The following is a 16,264-nucleotide window of genomic DNA, read 5'->3' as shown; positions in this document are numbered from 1 at the left end:
TCGAACTCCTGACCTTGTGATCCGCCTGCCTCAGCCTCCCAAAGTGCTGGGAATACAGGCATAAGCCAACACGCCCGGCCCCCATTTTCCCTTTTATAAGGTACCACCACTGACCTTACTGCTCACATTGCAGAGATCTTCAAAGCAATAAAAACAAAGGCCTTTTCAATGACAGACCAATCCTTGACACCTGGATTGATATGGCGCTCCCTTACTGATTTCCATAGGCGATTCAGTAGGATAGGCTGATGGTCAACCATCGTACTAAAATCAGTTCTTGATGATACATGTATTTGCCCTCATTTACTCTTTTTTTTTTTTTTTTTTTTAAGATGGAGTCTCACTCTGATGCCTAGGCTGGATGCAGTGGAGCGATCTTGGCTCACTGCAACATCCACCTCCCGGGTTCAAGCAATTCTCCTGCCTCAGCCTCCCAAGTAGCTGGGACTACAGGTGCGTACCATCACGCGCAGCTAATTTTAAAAATTTTTTTTAGTATTGATGGGGTTTCACCATGTTGGCTAGGTTGGCCTTGAACTTGTAACCTCAGGTGATCTTCCCGCCTTGGCCTCCCAGAGTGCTGGGATTACAGGCGTGAGCCACCACACCAGGCTTCATATACTCTTTACAGCCAAACACAGTGATAAGAATTCCCTCCACATGCAACCTGTGTTCCACTCTGGAGGCTAAGTTATCACCTGAACAAGCTTCTTTTAACACTCTAACCAAAAAAAAAAAAAAAAAAAAAGACTAAATTTTAAGTTTCATCAGCTGGGCCTTAGTGTTTAAACAGTCAAACAACATCATTTATCACAACTTTTTTTTTTTTGAGACAGGGTATCACTTGGACCCCCAGGCTGGAATGCACTGCCGCAATGACAGCTCACTGTAGCCTTGACTTCCCCGGGCTCAGGTGATCCTCACACCTCCACCTTCCCGGTAGCTGGGACGACAGGCATGTGCCACCACAATCGGATAATTTTTTGTAGAGAAAGGGTTTCAACATGTTGCTCAGGCTGGTCTTGAACTCCCGGGCTCAAGTGATCTGCCCGCCTCAGCTTCCCAAAGTGGTGGGATTACAGGCGTGAGCCACCATGCCCGGCCTAGAACTTTTTTTTTTTTTTTTGAGACGGAGTCTCGCTCTGTCGCCCAGACTGGAGTGCAGTGGTGCAATCTCGGCTCACTGCAAGCTCCGCCTCCGGGGTTCACGCCATTCTCCTGCCTCAACCTCCCAAGTAGCTGGGACTACAGGCACCCACCACCACGCTCGGCTAAATTTTTTTTTGTATTTTTAGTAGAGACGGGGTTTCACTGTGTTAGCCAGGATGGTCTCGATCTCCTGACCTCGTGATCCGCCCGCCTCGGCCTCCCAAAGTGCTGGGATTACAGGCGTGAGCCACCACGCCTTGCCCCTGACCTTTAGTCTTTCACTTCCAATTTTGTGGAATGATATTTTAGGAGTAACAGATTTTTAAAGAAGAAGAAGAAAAAAAAAGACTGAATTTCCTTGCTTACTTTGCATATACAGACTGGATTTTTTTTTTAACAGCCATTTCCCCAAAGGAATGTGTCTTGCATATTACTGACATTTGGTATATTTCATTCATCGGAATATTTCTTGTTTTCTACGTGTTTCAAAAACCTGTGAGAAATACAGGACTTGATAACATTTTGAAGGCAGGAAAAACCCAAATTGTTTCTTCTTTGAGAGTCATGACTACCTTCTGGTGTGGAGAATTTGTCATTGGAAAATTTGACAATTTTGATTCTCACTGGTATGTTTAAAAACTGAATTAAAGGAATAGAATTTTTCTTTTGATATAGGATCACAAAACAATTCTAAAACCTACTGTTTTTACCACTGAAATTTAAACTGCGATATAGGTTTTAAATGTCTGGAATGCAACTGATAGGCTTTTCTTGAACTGTTAGTTTATTTGAAATAGAGTTTTTTCATGTTTAATTTGTATTTGAAAAAAAAAAAAAGAAAAAATTCCCCAAACCCAGATAACAACCAGAGCAAAATTGTTGTGCCTTCTATTTCTCTTTGATTTCAGTCTTGGCAATTGTTTAAAGAAAAGTAATTTTTTAAAAATCTGGATTTGTTTTATTAGGTTCAGAGTATGTGGGGAATTGTAGAATCCCTCTTTCATCACCTTGTATGTCTTCTGTTAACATATGTGTTATGCCTTATTCTAAAATTGATCTCAAATTGGAATGCCTTTGAAGACAGATGCTTCTATAGAGGTTCTTTGACCTAAATAGTTCAGCATTTGTATTTTTACTCTGATATCTGATCAGATTCCTAATCATAGCCCATAAGAAGGAATGTGACTTTATGTATGTATGTATGTATGTATGTATTTTTTTTTTTTTTGAGGCGGAGTCTCGCTCTGTCGCCCAGGCTGGAGTGCAGTGGTGCAATCTCGGCTCACTGCAACCTCTGCCTCCAGGGTTCAAGTGATTCTCCTGCCTCAGCCTCCCGAGCAGCTGGGACTACAGGTGTGCGCCACCAAGCCCAGCTAATTTTTTTTTGTATTTTTAATAGAGAATGGGTTTCACCATGTTGGCCAGGCTGGTCTCAATATCCTGACCTGGTGATCCACCCGCCTCGGCCTCCCAAAGTGCTGGGATTACAGGCATGAGCCACCGATCCTGGCCGGAATGTGACTTTAATACTGGACTTTGCTGATGTGCTTGTGTCCACATTTTCTCTTTAAATCACAGCTATTTTAAATCACAGCTATATGGTAAATTTTCTATTTTGTTATGGTCCTCTTTTATTAACGGGCATGCAGTGGGTGTTTCTTGGAAATGGCCAATTTTTATTAAAATGTTTCTGGAAAAAAAAGTCATGGTCTTTCATCTATAGGATGGGTCAGAACTGTTGCTTCCTACCTTACATGGGCACTAAACAGCACTTCTGTGAACACCAACACTTTCCATGTCTCTGAAGTCTCAGGAAGCTAGAAAGTTCTCTTCAAAAAAAGAGAATCACTGGTTCTAAACTCTAGAAAGAAATCCTGGCTGGGTGTAGTGACTCATGCCTGTAATCCTAGCACTTTGGGAGGCTTAAGATGGAAGGATCACTGAGGCCAGGAGTTCAAGACCAGCCTGGGTAACACAGTAAGACTCCATCTCTACAAAAATAAAAAAGTTAGCTGAGCATGGTGGCGCATGACTATAGTCCCAACTACTTGGGAGGCAGAGGCAGGAGGATCGCCTGAGCCTAAGAGTTTGAGGCTGCAGTGAGCTATGATTGAGCCATTCCAGCCTGGGTGACAGAGCAAGACCCTGTCTCAAAAACCTAAATTGAAAGAAATCCTTAGGATTATTTTTATGGTATGTGATCAATACATATATTTTGATACAGCTTACAATGAATTGTTAAAAAATTATCCTTAGTCTACTTGGTTATAATTCTAGCTCAATTTCTGTCCATCAGATAAACAAAAGTCACAGTAAAGAATAGCTTTATTAGCTCCATTAGTGAGATATTTCAGTAAAATAAGTAGATCTAAATACTTCACAATAGTATACCGGGCACAGTGGCTCATGCCTGTAATCCCAGCACTTTGGGAGGCTAAGGCAGGCGGATCACTTGAGGTCAGGAGTTTGAGACCAGCCTGGCCAACATGGCAAACCCGTCTCCACTAAAAATACAAAAATTAGCCATGCATGGCGGCGTGTGCCTGTAACCCCAGCCATTTAGGTAGCTGAGGCATGAGACTCACTTGAACCCAGGAGGCCGAGGTTGCAGTGAGCTGAGATCACACCACTGCACTGCAGCCTGGGCGACAGAGCGGGACCTTGTCTCAAAAGATAAATAAATAAGTAAATACTTCACCATAGTAAAATATAAAGTAGTATAATCATAATTTCCAGCTACTTATAAGCTTTAACATTTGTGCCAATTAAACAGAAGTTGTATTCCCAGAAGGATAGAGTATCTGTACAACTCTACATAAATATACTGAGCATATGAAAAGTGTGATATTTTCAATTTTAGGACACTATTTCTAGATATTACATGAGGGATGAGCTCCAATAAAACAAATGTGTAAATCGCACACACTACAAATACCAAGAATAATTACTTAAGAAAAAATTACTTACAAGAGATAGCAGCAAACTGAACAGGTCACCAACATGGTAATGATAACTCTAAAAAAAAAAAAAAATGCAAATGTCATTAAATAACTAGCAAACTATGCAAACATCACAGAATGGTTTAAGTCCCCTTTCCAGATTATCAAACTGGCATGGATTGCACACCAAGAAATTGGATCTGTATTTGCTCAAATATCCAGCAAACTGCGGTGTGCCCAGGGTACACCTGGGAAAAGTTTATGTAATTAAACATTTGTATTTAAAGAGATATGTGCTGATGCCACAGTGTAGCTGTCCAATCCAAATTTATCTGAAACTGAACAGGAAAGGCCGCAGTGACAATTAGTTTTGACAACTAAGTAATTACCCTATTTGGTAGTATTCTCTGTAATGAAATTAACACTGTACTTCTAAAAATATGACTCTCCAGCGATGAGCTCTCCCAATCTCCATTCATGTCTGAAAAAGTTACACTTTGATCTCTCATCAGCAGAATTTCAACATTTCTAAACCTCAGTTCATGCTGTTCTCTTCCCATCTCTTTTCTAAAAGCTCCCCTTCTGAATCTCCTACTCCTCAGAAGAAGCTCTGCCATTTTCACCCAACCGACCCACCCTCACATCCATCATCTTTTGTCCATGCCTTCTCTGCACCTCCACAGTCACCAAATACTGTGGATTTATAGTTTAAAGCATCTCTCCCCATGTGTATTTCCTCCTTCCCATTCCCACTGTCAGCAACAAAATTCACCCAGTTCTCCTGGCTTAACTGCTGGCAGATTCAAACTTTTCTCCTTCTCCTTCATTCTATAAACAATCACCAGGATTCTCTACTTAAGACCTTTTGATGTCCCCCCTCCATCATCCATCATTTGGTTTCCAAGAGGCATGTCCACGCCCTAAGAAGAGCAAGAGCATTTCCTAGAACTTGGGAACCAAATATTATAACTCCTGTTTTTTTAAGAGACAGGGTCTCTGTCGCCCAGGCTAGAGTGCAGTGGCATGATCATAGCTCCCTGTAACCTCCAACTCCTCGGCTCAACTGATCCTTCTGCCTCAGCTTCCTGAGCAGCTAGGACTACTGGTGTACACAACCAGGCCTGGCTAATATTTTTAATTTTTTTTGGAGAGGTGGGGTCGGGGGGGGGGGTCTCAATATGTTGACCAGGTTGTACTTGAACTCCTGGCCTCAAGTGATACTCCTGCCTCAGCCTCCCAAAGTGTTGGGATTACTGGTGTGAGCCACCACACCTGGCCCAGAACTCTTATTTTTCTTTATTTTTAACTCATCCTTTAGAAGTTCTGTGTGTCTTTTTTGTTTTTTGAGACAGAGTCTCACTCTGTCATCCAGGCTGGAGTGCAGTGGCACAATCTTGGCTCATTGCAAACTCCGCCTCTCAGGTTCAAGCGATTCTCCTGCCTCAGCCCAAGTAGCTGAGATTATGGGCATGCACCACCATGCCCGGCTAATTTTTGTATTTTTAGTAGAGATGGGGTTTTGCCATGTTGTCCAGGCTGTTCTCAAACTCCTGGCCTCAAGTAATCCACCTACCTATGCTTCCCAAAGTGCTGGGATTACAGGCATGAGCCACTGTGTGTGTATTTTCTTTGGTTAATATATTGGCACATTCATTTACTCGTTCAACAGATTTTCACTCACTGAATGTCCAGTATATGTATTAGGGTCTGAGGAGAGAACAGGAAACAAAACAGATAAAAACCACTGCCTTGTGGCCGGGCGTGGTGGCTCACGCCTGTGATCCCAGCACTTTAGGAGGCCGAGGCAGGCGGATCAAGAGGTCAGGAGTTCGAGACCAGCCTGACCAATATGATGAAACCCCATCTCTACTAAAAATACAAAAAAATTAGCTGGGCGTGGTGGTGCTCGCCTGTAATCCCAGCTGCTCAGGAGGCTGAGGCAGAAGAATCACTTGAACTTGGGAGGCAGACGTTGCAGTGAGCCGAGATTGCGCTATTGCACTCCAGCATGGGCGACAGAGCAAGACTCCATCTCAAAAAAATAAATAAATAAACAAAAAAAACCACTGCCTCATGAAGCTCACGTGCTACTGGCATAGATAGACAACAAACAAGATGAACACACAACAAACAACAATTATCTACCTATATATGCCAGATGGTCAGTAAGTGCTGATGGAGGAAAATAAGACAGGAAAGGGAGACGGGGTCTACCAGGGGTTGGAGATTGTGGTTGCAATTTTAGAGGATGGTCAGGAAAAGCCTTGCTGAGGAGGTGGCGTCTCAGTGCAGACCTGAACAAGGTGACGGAGTGTTCCAGGCAGAAGTAATGTCAAAGGCAGGGGGTGAGAGGGTACCTGGAGTTCAAAGAGGAAGGGGTCTGTGTGGCTGACACAGAGCAAGGAGCCTGGGGAAAGGTGAGGTCAAAGAGGTACCATGTGGCCTCTGAAAGGACTTTCACTCTTAAAAGGCTTTGACTCTGAGTGAAAAGGGAAGTTATGGCCGGGCGCAGTGGCTCACGCCTGCAATCCCGGCACTTTGGGAGGCCGAGGCGGGCAGATCACGAGGTCAAGAGATCGAGACCATCCTGGCTAACACGGTGAAACCCCGTCTCTACTGAAAATACAAAAAAATTAGCCGGGCGTGGTGGCGGGCGCCTGTAGTCCCAGCTACTCGGGAGGCTGAGGCAGGAGAATGGCGTGAACCCGGGAGGCGGAGCTTGCAGTGAGCCGAGATCGCGCCACTGCACTCCAGCCTGGGCGACAGAGCGAGACTCCGTCTCAAAAAAAATAAAAAAGAAAGAAAGAAAAGAGAGAGAGAGAAAGAAAGACAGAAAGACAGACAGAAAGAAGAAAGAAGGAAAGAAAGAAAAATAAAGGAAGAAGGAAAGAAAAGGGCAGTTATTTGGAGGGATTTGAGGAGAGGACTGACAAAATCTGATTCCAATTCTAAGGGATCTCTCTGCTGGGATGAAAGAGACTGGGGGAAGCGGGGCAAAAAGAAAGCAGAGAAAGCAGTTGAGAGGAATTACATAATCCAAGTGGATCAGGCTGGCAGCAGTGCAGGTAGTAAGAGTTGGTCAGTTCCTTGAAATACATAATTTATACATTACACTTATAAAATATAAATAAATATGTATGGGGGATTGTGCTAAAGAAATTCTGACAGTTGCACAATAAAAATGTTTGAAGACCTACAGAATCAAGTCCCCCGCTTCATTTGTAACTGACTCCCTCCACCCATCCTTCTCACCTCCCCCTACGTGCAAACATCAGTCCTTCATTCCTGAAGGCAGGTGCCTTCACTGTCCCCCAAAACACATTATATCTAGGATTCTCAATTCCAAGCCTTTACTCATCTTCCCCCAGTCCGTGCTCCACTGTGGAATCTCTTCCCTGTCTTCTCTCTTCTCCAAAAGACCATCTCATAGAACTGAAAGAGCTGAGGCTCCTTTGTATTACCTGCTTAATATTAATAGTTTCACATAAAAGCTCCCTCATTAACGTATCAGCTCCTAATATGCTTGGTCTTAGGAGCTGCATGCTGAGTGGTGAAATGCCACAATAACTGCAATTTACTTTCAAATGGTCCAGCAAAATTATATATACACACACTCAAAGCAAATATGAATACGTTAAACAATGACTGAGTCTAGGAGGTAATATATGGCACTTATTGTACTACTCTTCCTACTTTTCTACATGTTTGAAATTGTTCATGAAAAAAGGGGAGTTAGCTGGATGCAGTAGCATGCCTATAGTCCCAGCTACTCAGGAGGCTGAGGCGGGAGGATCACTAGAGCCCAGGATATCAAGGCTGTAGTGAGATATGAGCACGCTACTGCACTCGAGGCCTTGGCAACGCAGGGAGACTCTTTAAAACAAAACAAAACAAAACAAAAAAACAGGTATGGTGGCTCAAGCCTGTAATCTTAGCACTTTGGGAGGCTGAGGCCAGGTGTTTAAGACCAACCTGGCCAACAGAGCGAGATCCCATCTGTATTTTTTTTTTTTTTTTAATTTTTGAGACAGAGTATCGCTCTGTCGTCCAGGCTGGAGTGCAGTGGCGCAATCTCAACTCACTGCAACCTCTGCCTCCTGGGCTCAAGCAATTCTCCTGCCTCAGCCTCCAGAGTAGCTGGGATTACAGGCGCACACCACCACACCTGGCTAATTTTTGTATTTTTAGTAGAGATGAGGTTTCACCATGTTGGCCAGGCTGGTCTTGAACTCCCGACCAAGTGATCCACCCACCTCAGCCTTCCAAAGTGCCGGGATTACAGGCATGAGCCACCATGCCCGGCTAGCCCATCTCTATTATTTATAAATAAAATAATCAAAAAATAAAAATAAAATTAAAACAAACCACAAAAAAAGAAAAATGGAGTTGACTGAACTGGCAAACTCATCTCTGCGCTCTTTCCTTTTCTCCTCCCCCACATCTACTGGTTAGGAAGCCACTGTGAGAAAATGGAAGCTTTAGAGAATCTATGGATTCCTTTAGAGAAAAGAGGGAAATCATGAGAAACTAGAATGGTCAGGAATCAGGAAAGCTGATTCCAGGCACAGACCTGATTTTAGCTGGCCCTTTTCAGTTGCAAAAATAAAGAGCCAGGGGCTTTATTTAGGTCATCCATAAATTCTGAAGAGTTTTTTCCAAGTGATCGTAGGCTATTTTTTTTTTTAATAAAAGAAAAGATTCATAAGTTTTTCCTGGCTGAGCACAGTGCTCACAACTGTAATCCTAGCACTTTGGTTGGCTGAGGTGGGAGGACTGCTTGAAGTCAGGAGTTCAAGACCAGCATAGGCAATAAAACGAGACCCAGTATCTACAACATTTTTTTTTTAATTGGTTGGGCATGGTGGTGCATGCCTGTTGTCCCAGCTATGCTGGAGGCTGAAGCAGAAGGATTGTGTGAGCCCAGGTTGAGGCTGCAGCGGGCTATGACTGACCGTGCCACTGCACTCCAGCCTGGGCAACAGAGTAAGACCCTGTTTTAAGAAATAAATTTTAAAAAATCTTCGGCTGGGCATGGTGCCCAACTCCTGTCATCCCAGCACTTTGGGAGGCCAAGGTGGGTGCATCGCCTGAGGTCAGGAGTTTGAGACTAGCCTGGCCAACATGGCAAAACCCCATCTCTACTAAAAAATACAAAAATGAGCTGGGCATGGTGGCCCATGCCTGTAATCCCAGCTACTCGGAAGGCTGAGGCAGGAGAATTGCTTGAACCCGGGAGGCAGAGGCTGTAGTGAGCCAAGATCATGCCATTGCACTCCAGCCTGGGTGACAGAGCAAGACTAGGTCTCAAAAAAAAAAAAAATCTTCAGTAAGGAGATAAATAAAGGAACCCTGTGAGGAGGAAAGAAGGGAGAGAAACACAGATGTATTTGATGTTAATTTATCTTCCCCAAGAGACCCCTGCACATCAGAATGCTGAAAGTTGGGTAATTAGGAGGTTATAGGACCTAATGAGGCAGGGAAAAGAAAGGGCAAAAGAGAATTTTTTTTTTAAGGGATGGGGTCTCACTCTGTTGCCTAGGCTAGAATGCAGTGGCATGATCATAGCTCACTGCAGCCTCAACATCCTGGGCTCAAACAATCCACCCACCCAGCCTCCTGAGAAGCTAGGACCACAGGTCTACACCACCATGCCTAGGTAATTTTTAAAAAATTGTTTTTGTAGAGACCAGGTCTTGCTTTATTGCCCAGGCTTGGTCTCTATTTTCTGGCTTCAAGTGATCCTCCCACCTCAGCCTCCCAAAGTGCCGGTGTGAGCCACCATGTCAGGCCCATTTTTATTTTTTTGAAGATATTTTTGATCATTTAAATCAGAAATGCTCACCTGTATTAAAAATTCACCACAAGCTAGGGGCACTGCTCGAGCCTGTTATCCCAACACATTGGGAGGCCGAGGCGAGAGGATCACTTGAGGCCAAAAGTCTGGTAACAGCCTGGCCAACATGGTGAAACCCTGCCTCTACTAAAAATACAAAAATTAGTCAAGCATGGTGACGTGCGCCTGTAGTCCGAGATACTCGGGAGGTTGAGGCACGAGAAGCGCTTGAACCTGGGAGGTGGAGGTTTCAGTGAGCCGAGATTGTGCCACCACACTCCAGACTGGGCAACAGAGGAAGACTGTCTCAAAAAAAAACCCCAACTCACCATAGTGTGAAGCACTTCAGCTCCTTCACGTATCCTGAAAAATTTGATTTGCAGTATTTTCAAGAGGTAAAGGGGAACTAGTACTAATTCGGCTTTAATGTTTCCTTTTTTTAAAATCCCCACAGAAAAGCCTATTTCCATTTTAAAAAGAGGAAATGGGAACATGGAAAAGTTAATTAAATTGTGCACTAGTATTTCCTTTTTAAAAAAATCCCTACAGAAAAGCCTATTTCCATTTTAAAATGAGGAAATGGGAACATGGAAAAGTTAACTAAATCGTCAAGGTCACAGGGATCATCTGCCTAGGTGCAGTGTTTCTCAAAATGTATTATAGCAACTCTTCCTAGGAGAGACACTGCTCAATCCAACCAAGAGCAGGAAAAGCAAGGACTGCAGCAGAGGCTGTGAACTGGACCCAGATAATACAGGCACTTGACAATTGCCACATAATGACCTTTCAGTCAATGAATGAATGCATAAATGACAGGTGGTCCCCTAAGATTATAATGGAGCTGAAACATTCCTATCACCTAATGACATCTTGATGATCCTGAACCTGTGTGGGCCTAGAATAATATGTTTGTGTTTTAGTTTTTAACAAAAAAAAGTTTAAAAAGTTAAAAAAAATTTAAATGGAAAAAAACTTATAGGATAGGATATAAAGAAAGAAAATAGATTAGGTCCGAGGTGGCTTATGCCTGTAATTCTAGCACTTTGGGAGGCCAAGGTGGGAGGACTGCTTGAGGTCAAGAGTTGGAGACCAGCCTGGGCAACAAAGAGAGACCCTGTCTCAAAACAACAACAACGAATTAGCTGGGTGTAGTGGTGCACGCCTATGTCCTAGCTAGTGCAGAGGCTGAGGTGGACGGATCCCTTGAGCCTTGGAGTTCAAGGCTGCAGTGAGCTATGATGGAGCCACTGCACTCCAGCCTGGGTGACAGTGAGACTCTCTGACTCTTAAAAAAAAAAAATTATATAGCTGTACAATGTGTCTGTGTGTGTTTTGATTTGTTTTCAAAAGTTTACTCTTACATGTACAATGTACAACAGGCTCCAAGACAACACTTCATTCTAAGTATAGGTGGCAAAAGATGTTATAGCAGGGGGCCGGGTGTGGCAGCTCACACCTGTAATCTCAGCACTTTGGGAGGCCGAGGCGGACGGATCACCTGAGGTCAGGAGTTCAAGACCAGCCTGTCCAACATGGTGAAACCCCTTCTCTACTGAAAATACAAAAATTAGCCAGGCATGGTGGTGGGCACCTGTAATCCCAACTACTCAGGGGGCTGAGGCAGGAGAATTGCTTGAATCCAGCAGGTGGAGGTTGCAGTGAGCCAAGATGGCACCACTGCACTCCAGCCTGGACAAAAGAGTGAGAGTCCATCTCAAAGAAAAAAAAAAAAAAAGTTATAGCAGGGAATCCAGATGTTTAAATACAAATGGAATCAAGGGTCACCATCGATCACCTCAGGCACATGGAACAGCTTATTTTTTGCCGGATTTCTTAATTCCACCTATGACCAGGGGCCCCTTCCCCATGGCCTTCACTTTCAGCTCCTCCAGTTTCTTCTGCTCCTCTTTTTGTTTAAAAAATGTATCTTCCAGCCGGGCGTGGTGGCTCATGCCTGTAATTCTAGCACTTTGGGAGGCTGAGATGGGCGGATCATGAGGTCAAGAGATCGAGACCATCCTGGCCAACATGGTGAAATCCCGTCTCTACTAAAAATACAAAAATTAGCTGGGCATGGTGGTGCGCGCCTGTAACCCCAGCTACTCGGGAGGCTGAGGCAGGAGAATTGCTTGAACCCAGGAGGCGGAGGGTGCAGTGAGCCAGTATCACGCCACTGCACTCCAGCCTGGCGACAGAGTGAGACTCTGTCTCAAAAACAAACAAACAAACAAACAAACAAAAACAACAAAAAACCAACCTTATCTTCCCCATCCATCTCCTTGGCCTGCTTCTTGGGCTGTTTCAGGGGCTTCTTCCTGCCATCTGTGAAAATGGACATGGTGCCTGCAGCCTCTTCCCCAGACTCTGACACTGGACTTGTTTCATTTTTGAAGAGACAGGGTCTCACTGTTGCCCAGGCTGGAGTACAGTGGTGTGATCATAGCTTACTGCATCCTGGAACTCCTGGTCTCAAACACTCCCATCCCCCTCACTCAGCCTCCCCAGTAGCTAGGACCACAGGTGTGCACCACCATACCCAACTAATTAAAAAAAATTTTTTTCAGAGATAAGGTCTCGCTGTGTTGCCCAGGCTGGTCTCAAGCAATCCTCTTGTCCGGCTTCCCAAAGTGCTGCATATTATGGGTGTGAGCCACCGTGCCCAGCCTTGCTTGTGTTTTAAGCCAAGTGTTAGTACAAGAGTCAAAAAGTTAAAAATAATTCAAAAGTTTAAGTAAAAAAGTTACAGGAAGCTAAGGTTAATTTATTTTTGAAGAAAGAAAAATATTTTTTCAGAAATTTCATGTAGCCTAAGTATACAGTGTTTCTAAAGTCCACCATGGTATACAGCAATGTCCTGGTTCTTCACATTCACTCACCAGTCACTGACTCACTCACAGCAATTTCCAGTCCTGCAAGCTCCATTCATGGTAAGTGCCCTACACAGGTGGACCATTTTAAATCTTTGATATGTATTTTTACTGTACCTTTTCTATGTTTAGATACACAAATACCATTGTGTTACATTTGTCTATACAGTATTTAAGGACAGTAACATGCTGTACAGGTGTGTAGCCTACCTAGAGGCAACAGGTTCTACCAAATAGCCTAGGTGTGTAGTAGGCTGTACCATCTGTTTAAGTAAACTCTTTGTTCACACAAAAGCCCAACTAACACATTTCTCAAACATAGTCCTTTTGTTAAGTGACACATGTCTATATATCACTAGCTGGTCAAATACCTGAATCATGACACTCTCTAGGGCTAAGTGGAAACAGGATGGGTTTCATTACCCTGGATAATGGCAATGACATCCCAAGGAAGGGGAGAGAATGGTCTTTAAGAAAGGAATTGTCAGTGCTATTAGTACATTAATAAATGCTTCTTTGAGTACAAAGGCCATAAAGGCAGACAGTAGGGTAATGAAACAGTTGAAGATATAAACACAACAAAGAAGCACTTTGTTGTTCGCTAACTCCAGTAGGAAAAACAAGTCTAATTAACTTTGGTAAATACAATTGCTTTAATAATGCCAGAATTCTGACTCTGTCCATCAACCTCTATAGGTAGGAGAGATGACCCCATATAACTGGTGTTACCAGGGAGGAGGAACTTGATACTTAAAAATGATAAAAATTCATCTACCATGTATCTTTTAAAAAAAAATAATTTTAGACTAATAAAGCAAATGTATCCCAGGGAGCAAAAGGGGTTCAGGTCACAAAATATTAGGGAAGTAGTAAAAATCTTTTTCTTTCTTTTTTTTTTTTTTTTTTGAGACGGAGTCTCGCTCTGTCGCCCAGGCTGGAGTGCAGTGGCGCGATCTCGGCTCACTGCAAGCTCTGCCTCCTGGGTTCACGCCATTCTCCTGCCTCAGCCTCCCGAGTAGCTGGGATTACAGGCGCCCGCCACCACGCCCGGCTAATTTTTTGTGTTTTTAGTAGAGACGGGTTTCACCGTGTTAGCCAGGATGGTCTCGATCTCCTGACCTCGTGATCCGCCCGCCTTGGCCTCCCAAAGTGCTGGGATTACAGGCGTGAGCCACGGCACCTGGCCAAAAATCTTTTTCTTTTAATAAAGACAATAGAACTATTCACTCAACAGGTATTTATTGGGTGCCTCCTGTGCATACAAGGTACTATGAAAACCAGGCACTATGAAGCCACCAATTAGGTTCAAGAATAAAGCAAGAGATGGTGTTTCTGACAAACTGACTTCAGTCGAAGTTTCACCTCTCATCATCTTGAACTGAGAAAAAAATGACTGAGAAGCAAAAGAGGAACCAGGAAGAGGGTGTTCCAAGGCTCCTTTGAAGATTAAGCCTCTATTTTATACTACAGTTAAAAAGTTTAATTCCAAAAGAGACAAAGCTCTAACCAACAAAGAAGTCTGGAAAAACAAAATCTTTCTTAGCCAATCATTCTAAGCACTTCTTACACTCACATACAAGAGCCGGAGCGCCCTCCAAAAGGCATGACGCAGGGGTTTCTCAACAATACCTCCTGCTCTTTGGTAATTAATCTCGCTTTAGATCAGGCCCCAACCGCCTCCTGGCGCCCACTAGATGCAAGGCCTGGGCTCAATGTTGTCGAAGGAGCTTGTTCTGTACGCAACCGCGACAGCATGGGAGGCAGAGAAGCCAATTTCTGTTTTATTTATTTGATCCTTAAGTTCAGGCAAACGAGGCCTCATGTGGGTGGAAGGCAGGGCTAAAGGGGGACAGTCGACTAGGGACAAACCCCAGTTTCTCCCAGATTCGGCCTGCTCATTTCCGACTGCACCTCCCCACACAGGACTATGATGAGAAAAAATTCCCCTGAAACTCGTTTCCAAGGGGGGTCCACCAAAGGTCACCCTCCACTCGCTCAGGCCGGAGGACACTGAAGCTGCTGCGAAAAGGAACACAAGGAGTTCCGCCGGGTCGGGGGCCTGACTCTGCAGCGCGGGGGGCGCCCATGCAACGTTCTCTGACCCGTGTGGGGGTCGTGCCTTTCCCCGCCCCGGCCTGCTAGCTCCTCACCGCCCGTTCCTCCCAAGGCGGGCCTCACGCACTTACCCCCGGTTAGGACCCTTAGGGATGAACCAAGGCACCAAGAAGCCGACGAAGCCCCAGAACACGCTCATCACAATGAGAGGCACAGTGAGGCCGTGATACGCCATGGTCGCCGCCTGAGCGCCAACCCCTACCCCGTCGCCTCACTCGGATCCCACCAGGAAGTGTCAATAGCTGACCGCGTGACCAGCGTGTGCAAGCCCCGCCTCCCGCGCCCCCACGTGACCCGCGCGCCGGCCTCCGCCCCTCGGGGAGCCCAGAGGCAGAGCCCCGCCTTCGCCTGGCTGTCTCCTGGCTGCAGCTCCTTGGAGGCATGTCGCTCACCCCAGAGCTAGGGATTCGGTCACCCGGGGCTCAGCAAAGTGTTCTGATGAGAACTTGGCCCTTTTAGACAAAGAGTGTAGTTATCTACAGCCTCATCTACTTATGCAACAGACATAGAGAACTTAACAATAGTTGTCCCTTACTATTCTGAATTCCCGTGTGCCTGGCACTGGGCCATGATCTTTAAGTTCATGAGCCCCAGGCCGGGTGCGGTGGCTCACGCCTGTAATCCCAGCACTTTGGCAGGCTGAGGCAGGCGGATCACTTGAGGTCAGGAGTTCGAGACCAGCCTGGCCAACATGGTGTAACCCTGTCTCTACTAAAAATACAAAAATTAGCTGGGTGTGGTGGTGCGCGCCTGTGGTCCCAGCTACTCAGGAGGCTGAGGCAGGAGAATCAATTGAACTCGGGAGGTGGAGGTTGCAGTGAGCCGAGATTGCGCCACTGCACTCCAGCCTGGGCAACAGAACAACACTCTGTCTCAAAAGAAAAAAAAAAAAGTGCATGAGCCCGTGTTGAACTCCTCACTTCAGCCTATGAGGTAATTGTAATTATTATCCCCACTTTGCAGTTGAAGAAACTGAGGCCCAGGGAAGAGGATAAGGATCTTGCCCAAAGTCACATAGTAAGTGGCAGGGCCAGGATTCAACCCCTGATTATCTGATTTTCAAGGCCAGAGCTCTTAACTAGCGCACCACTATTTATCTTGTGTGCTGTGCCAGGCTCTGGAGTTACAGAAGTCAATCAGGCACCCCTGAGGGAGTTCACATTCTGGGGAGCAGATGACCTTGCAAACAGGCGACTCAATGCAGTGTGAAAGTAAGTGGACGACCCTGCAAGGCTTTCTACCCAACTCGTCCTTGCTGAGCCTTGAAAGACAAGTAGAAATTAGCCAGAATGGTAAGAAGAAAAACAGGCCAGGCATGGTGGCTCACACCTGTAATCCCAGCACTTTGGGAGGCCGAGGCG

General features: G+C 45.0%; 1 protein-coding gene across 1 annotated transcript in view, besides 2 other annotated features; it reads right to left on the bottom strand.

Annotated features, from left to right (window-relative positions):
• ATP6V0E1 (ATPase H+ transporting V0 subunit e1) overlaps positions 1–15,168 on the bottom strand; it is a 51,675-nt gene extending 36,507 nt beyond the window's left edge. Inside the window, exons 1-2 of the mRNA NM_003945.4 lie at positions 14,975–15,168; positions 4,117–4,164 (exon numbers count right to left, since the gene is read on the bottom strand). Of these exons, the coding sequence (NP_003936.1) occupies positions 4,117–4,164; positions 14,975–15,078 (152 nt within the window). The 5' untranslated portion in view covers positions 15,079–15,168. The remainder of the gene's footprint in view (positions 1–4,116; positions 4,165–14,974) is intronic.
• Positions 15,059–15,353: an enhancer, noted in NCBI's record as "tiled region #5956; HepG2 Activating DNase unmatched - State 1:Tss, and K562 Activating DNase unmatched - State 1:Tss". NCBI's record gives its function as "activates a minimal TATA promoter and a strong SV40 promoter by Sharpr-MPRA in HepG2 and K562 cells {active_cell/tissue: HepG2 | K562}" and the evidence as "EXISTENCE:reporter gene assay evidence [ECO:0000049][PMID:27701403]".
• Positions 15,114–15,293: a silencer, noted in NCBI's record as "silent region_16632". NCBI's record gives its function as "represses an Ori minimal core promoter by ATAC-STARR-seq in GM12878 lymphoblastoid cells {active_cell/tissue: GM12878}" and the evidence as "EXISTENCE:reporter gene assay evidence [ECO:0000049][PMID:35858748]".

Source organism: Homo sapiens, chromosome 5 (genome assembly GCF_000001405.40).
Source record: "Homo sapiens chromosome 5, GRCh38.p14 Primary Assembly".
Classification (NCBI taxonomy): Eukaryota; Metazoa; Chordata; class Mammalia; order Primates; family Hominidae; genus Homo; species Homo sapiens.
The sequence above is the reverse complement of the archived record's forward strand: the minus strand, read 5'-3'. Positions and strand labels throughout refer to the sequence as shown.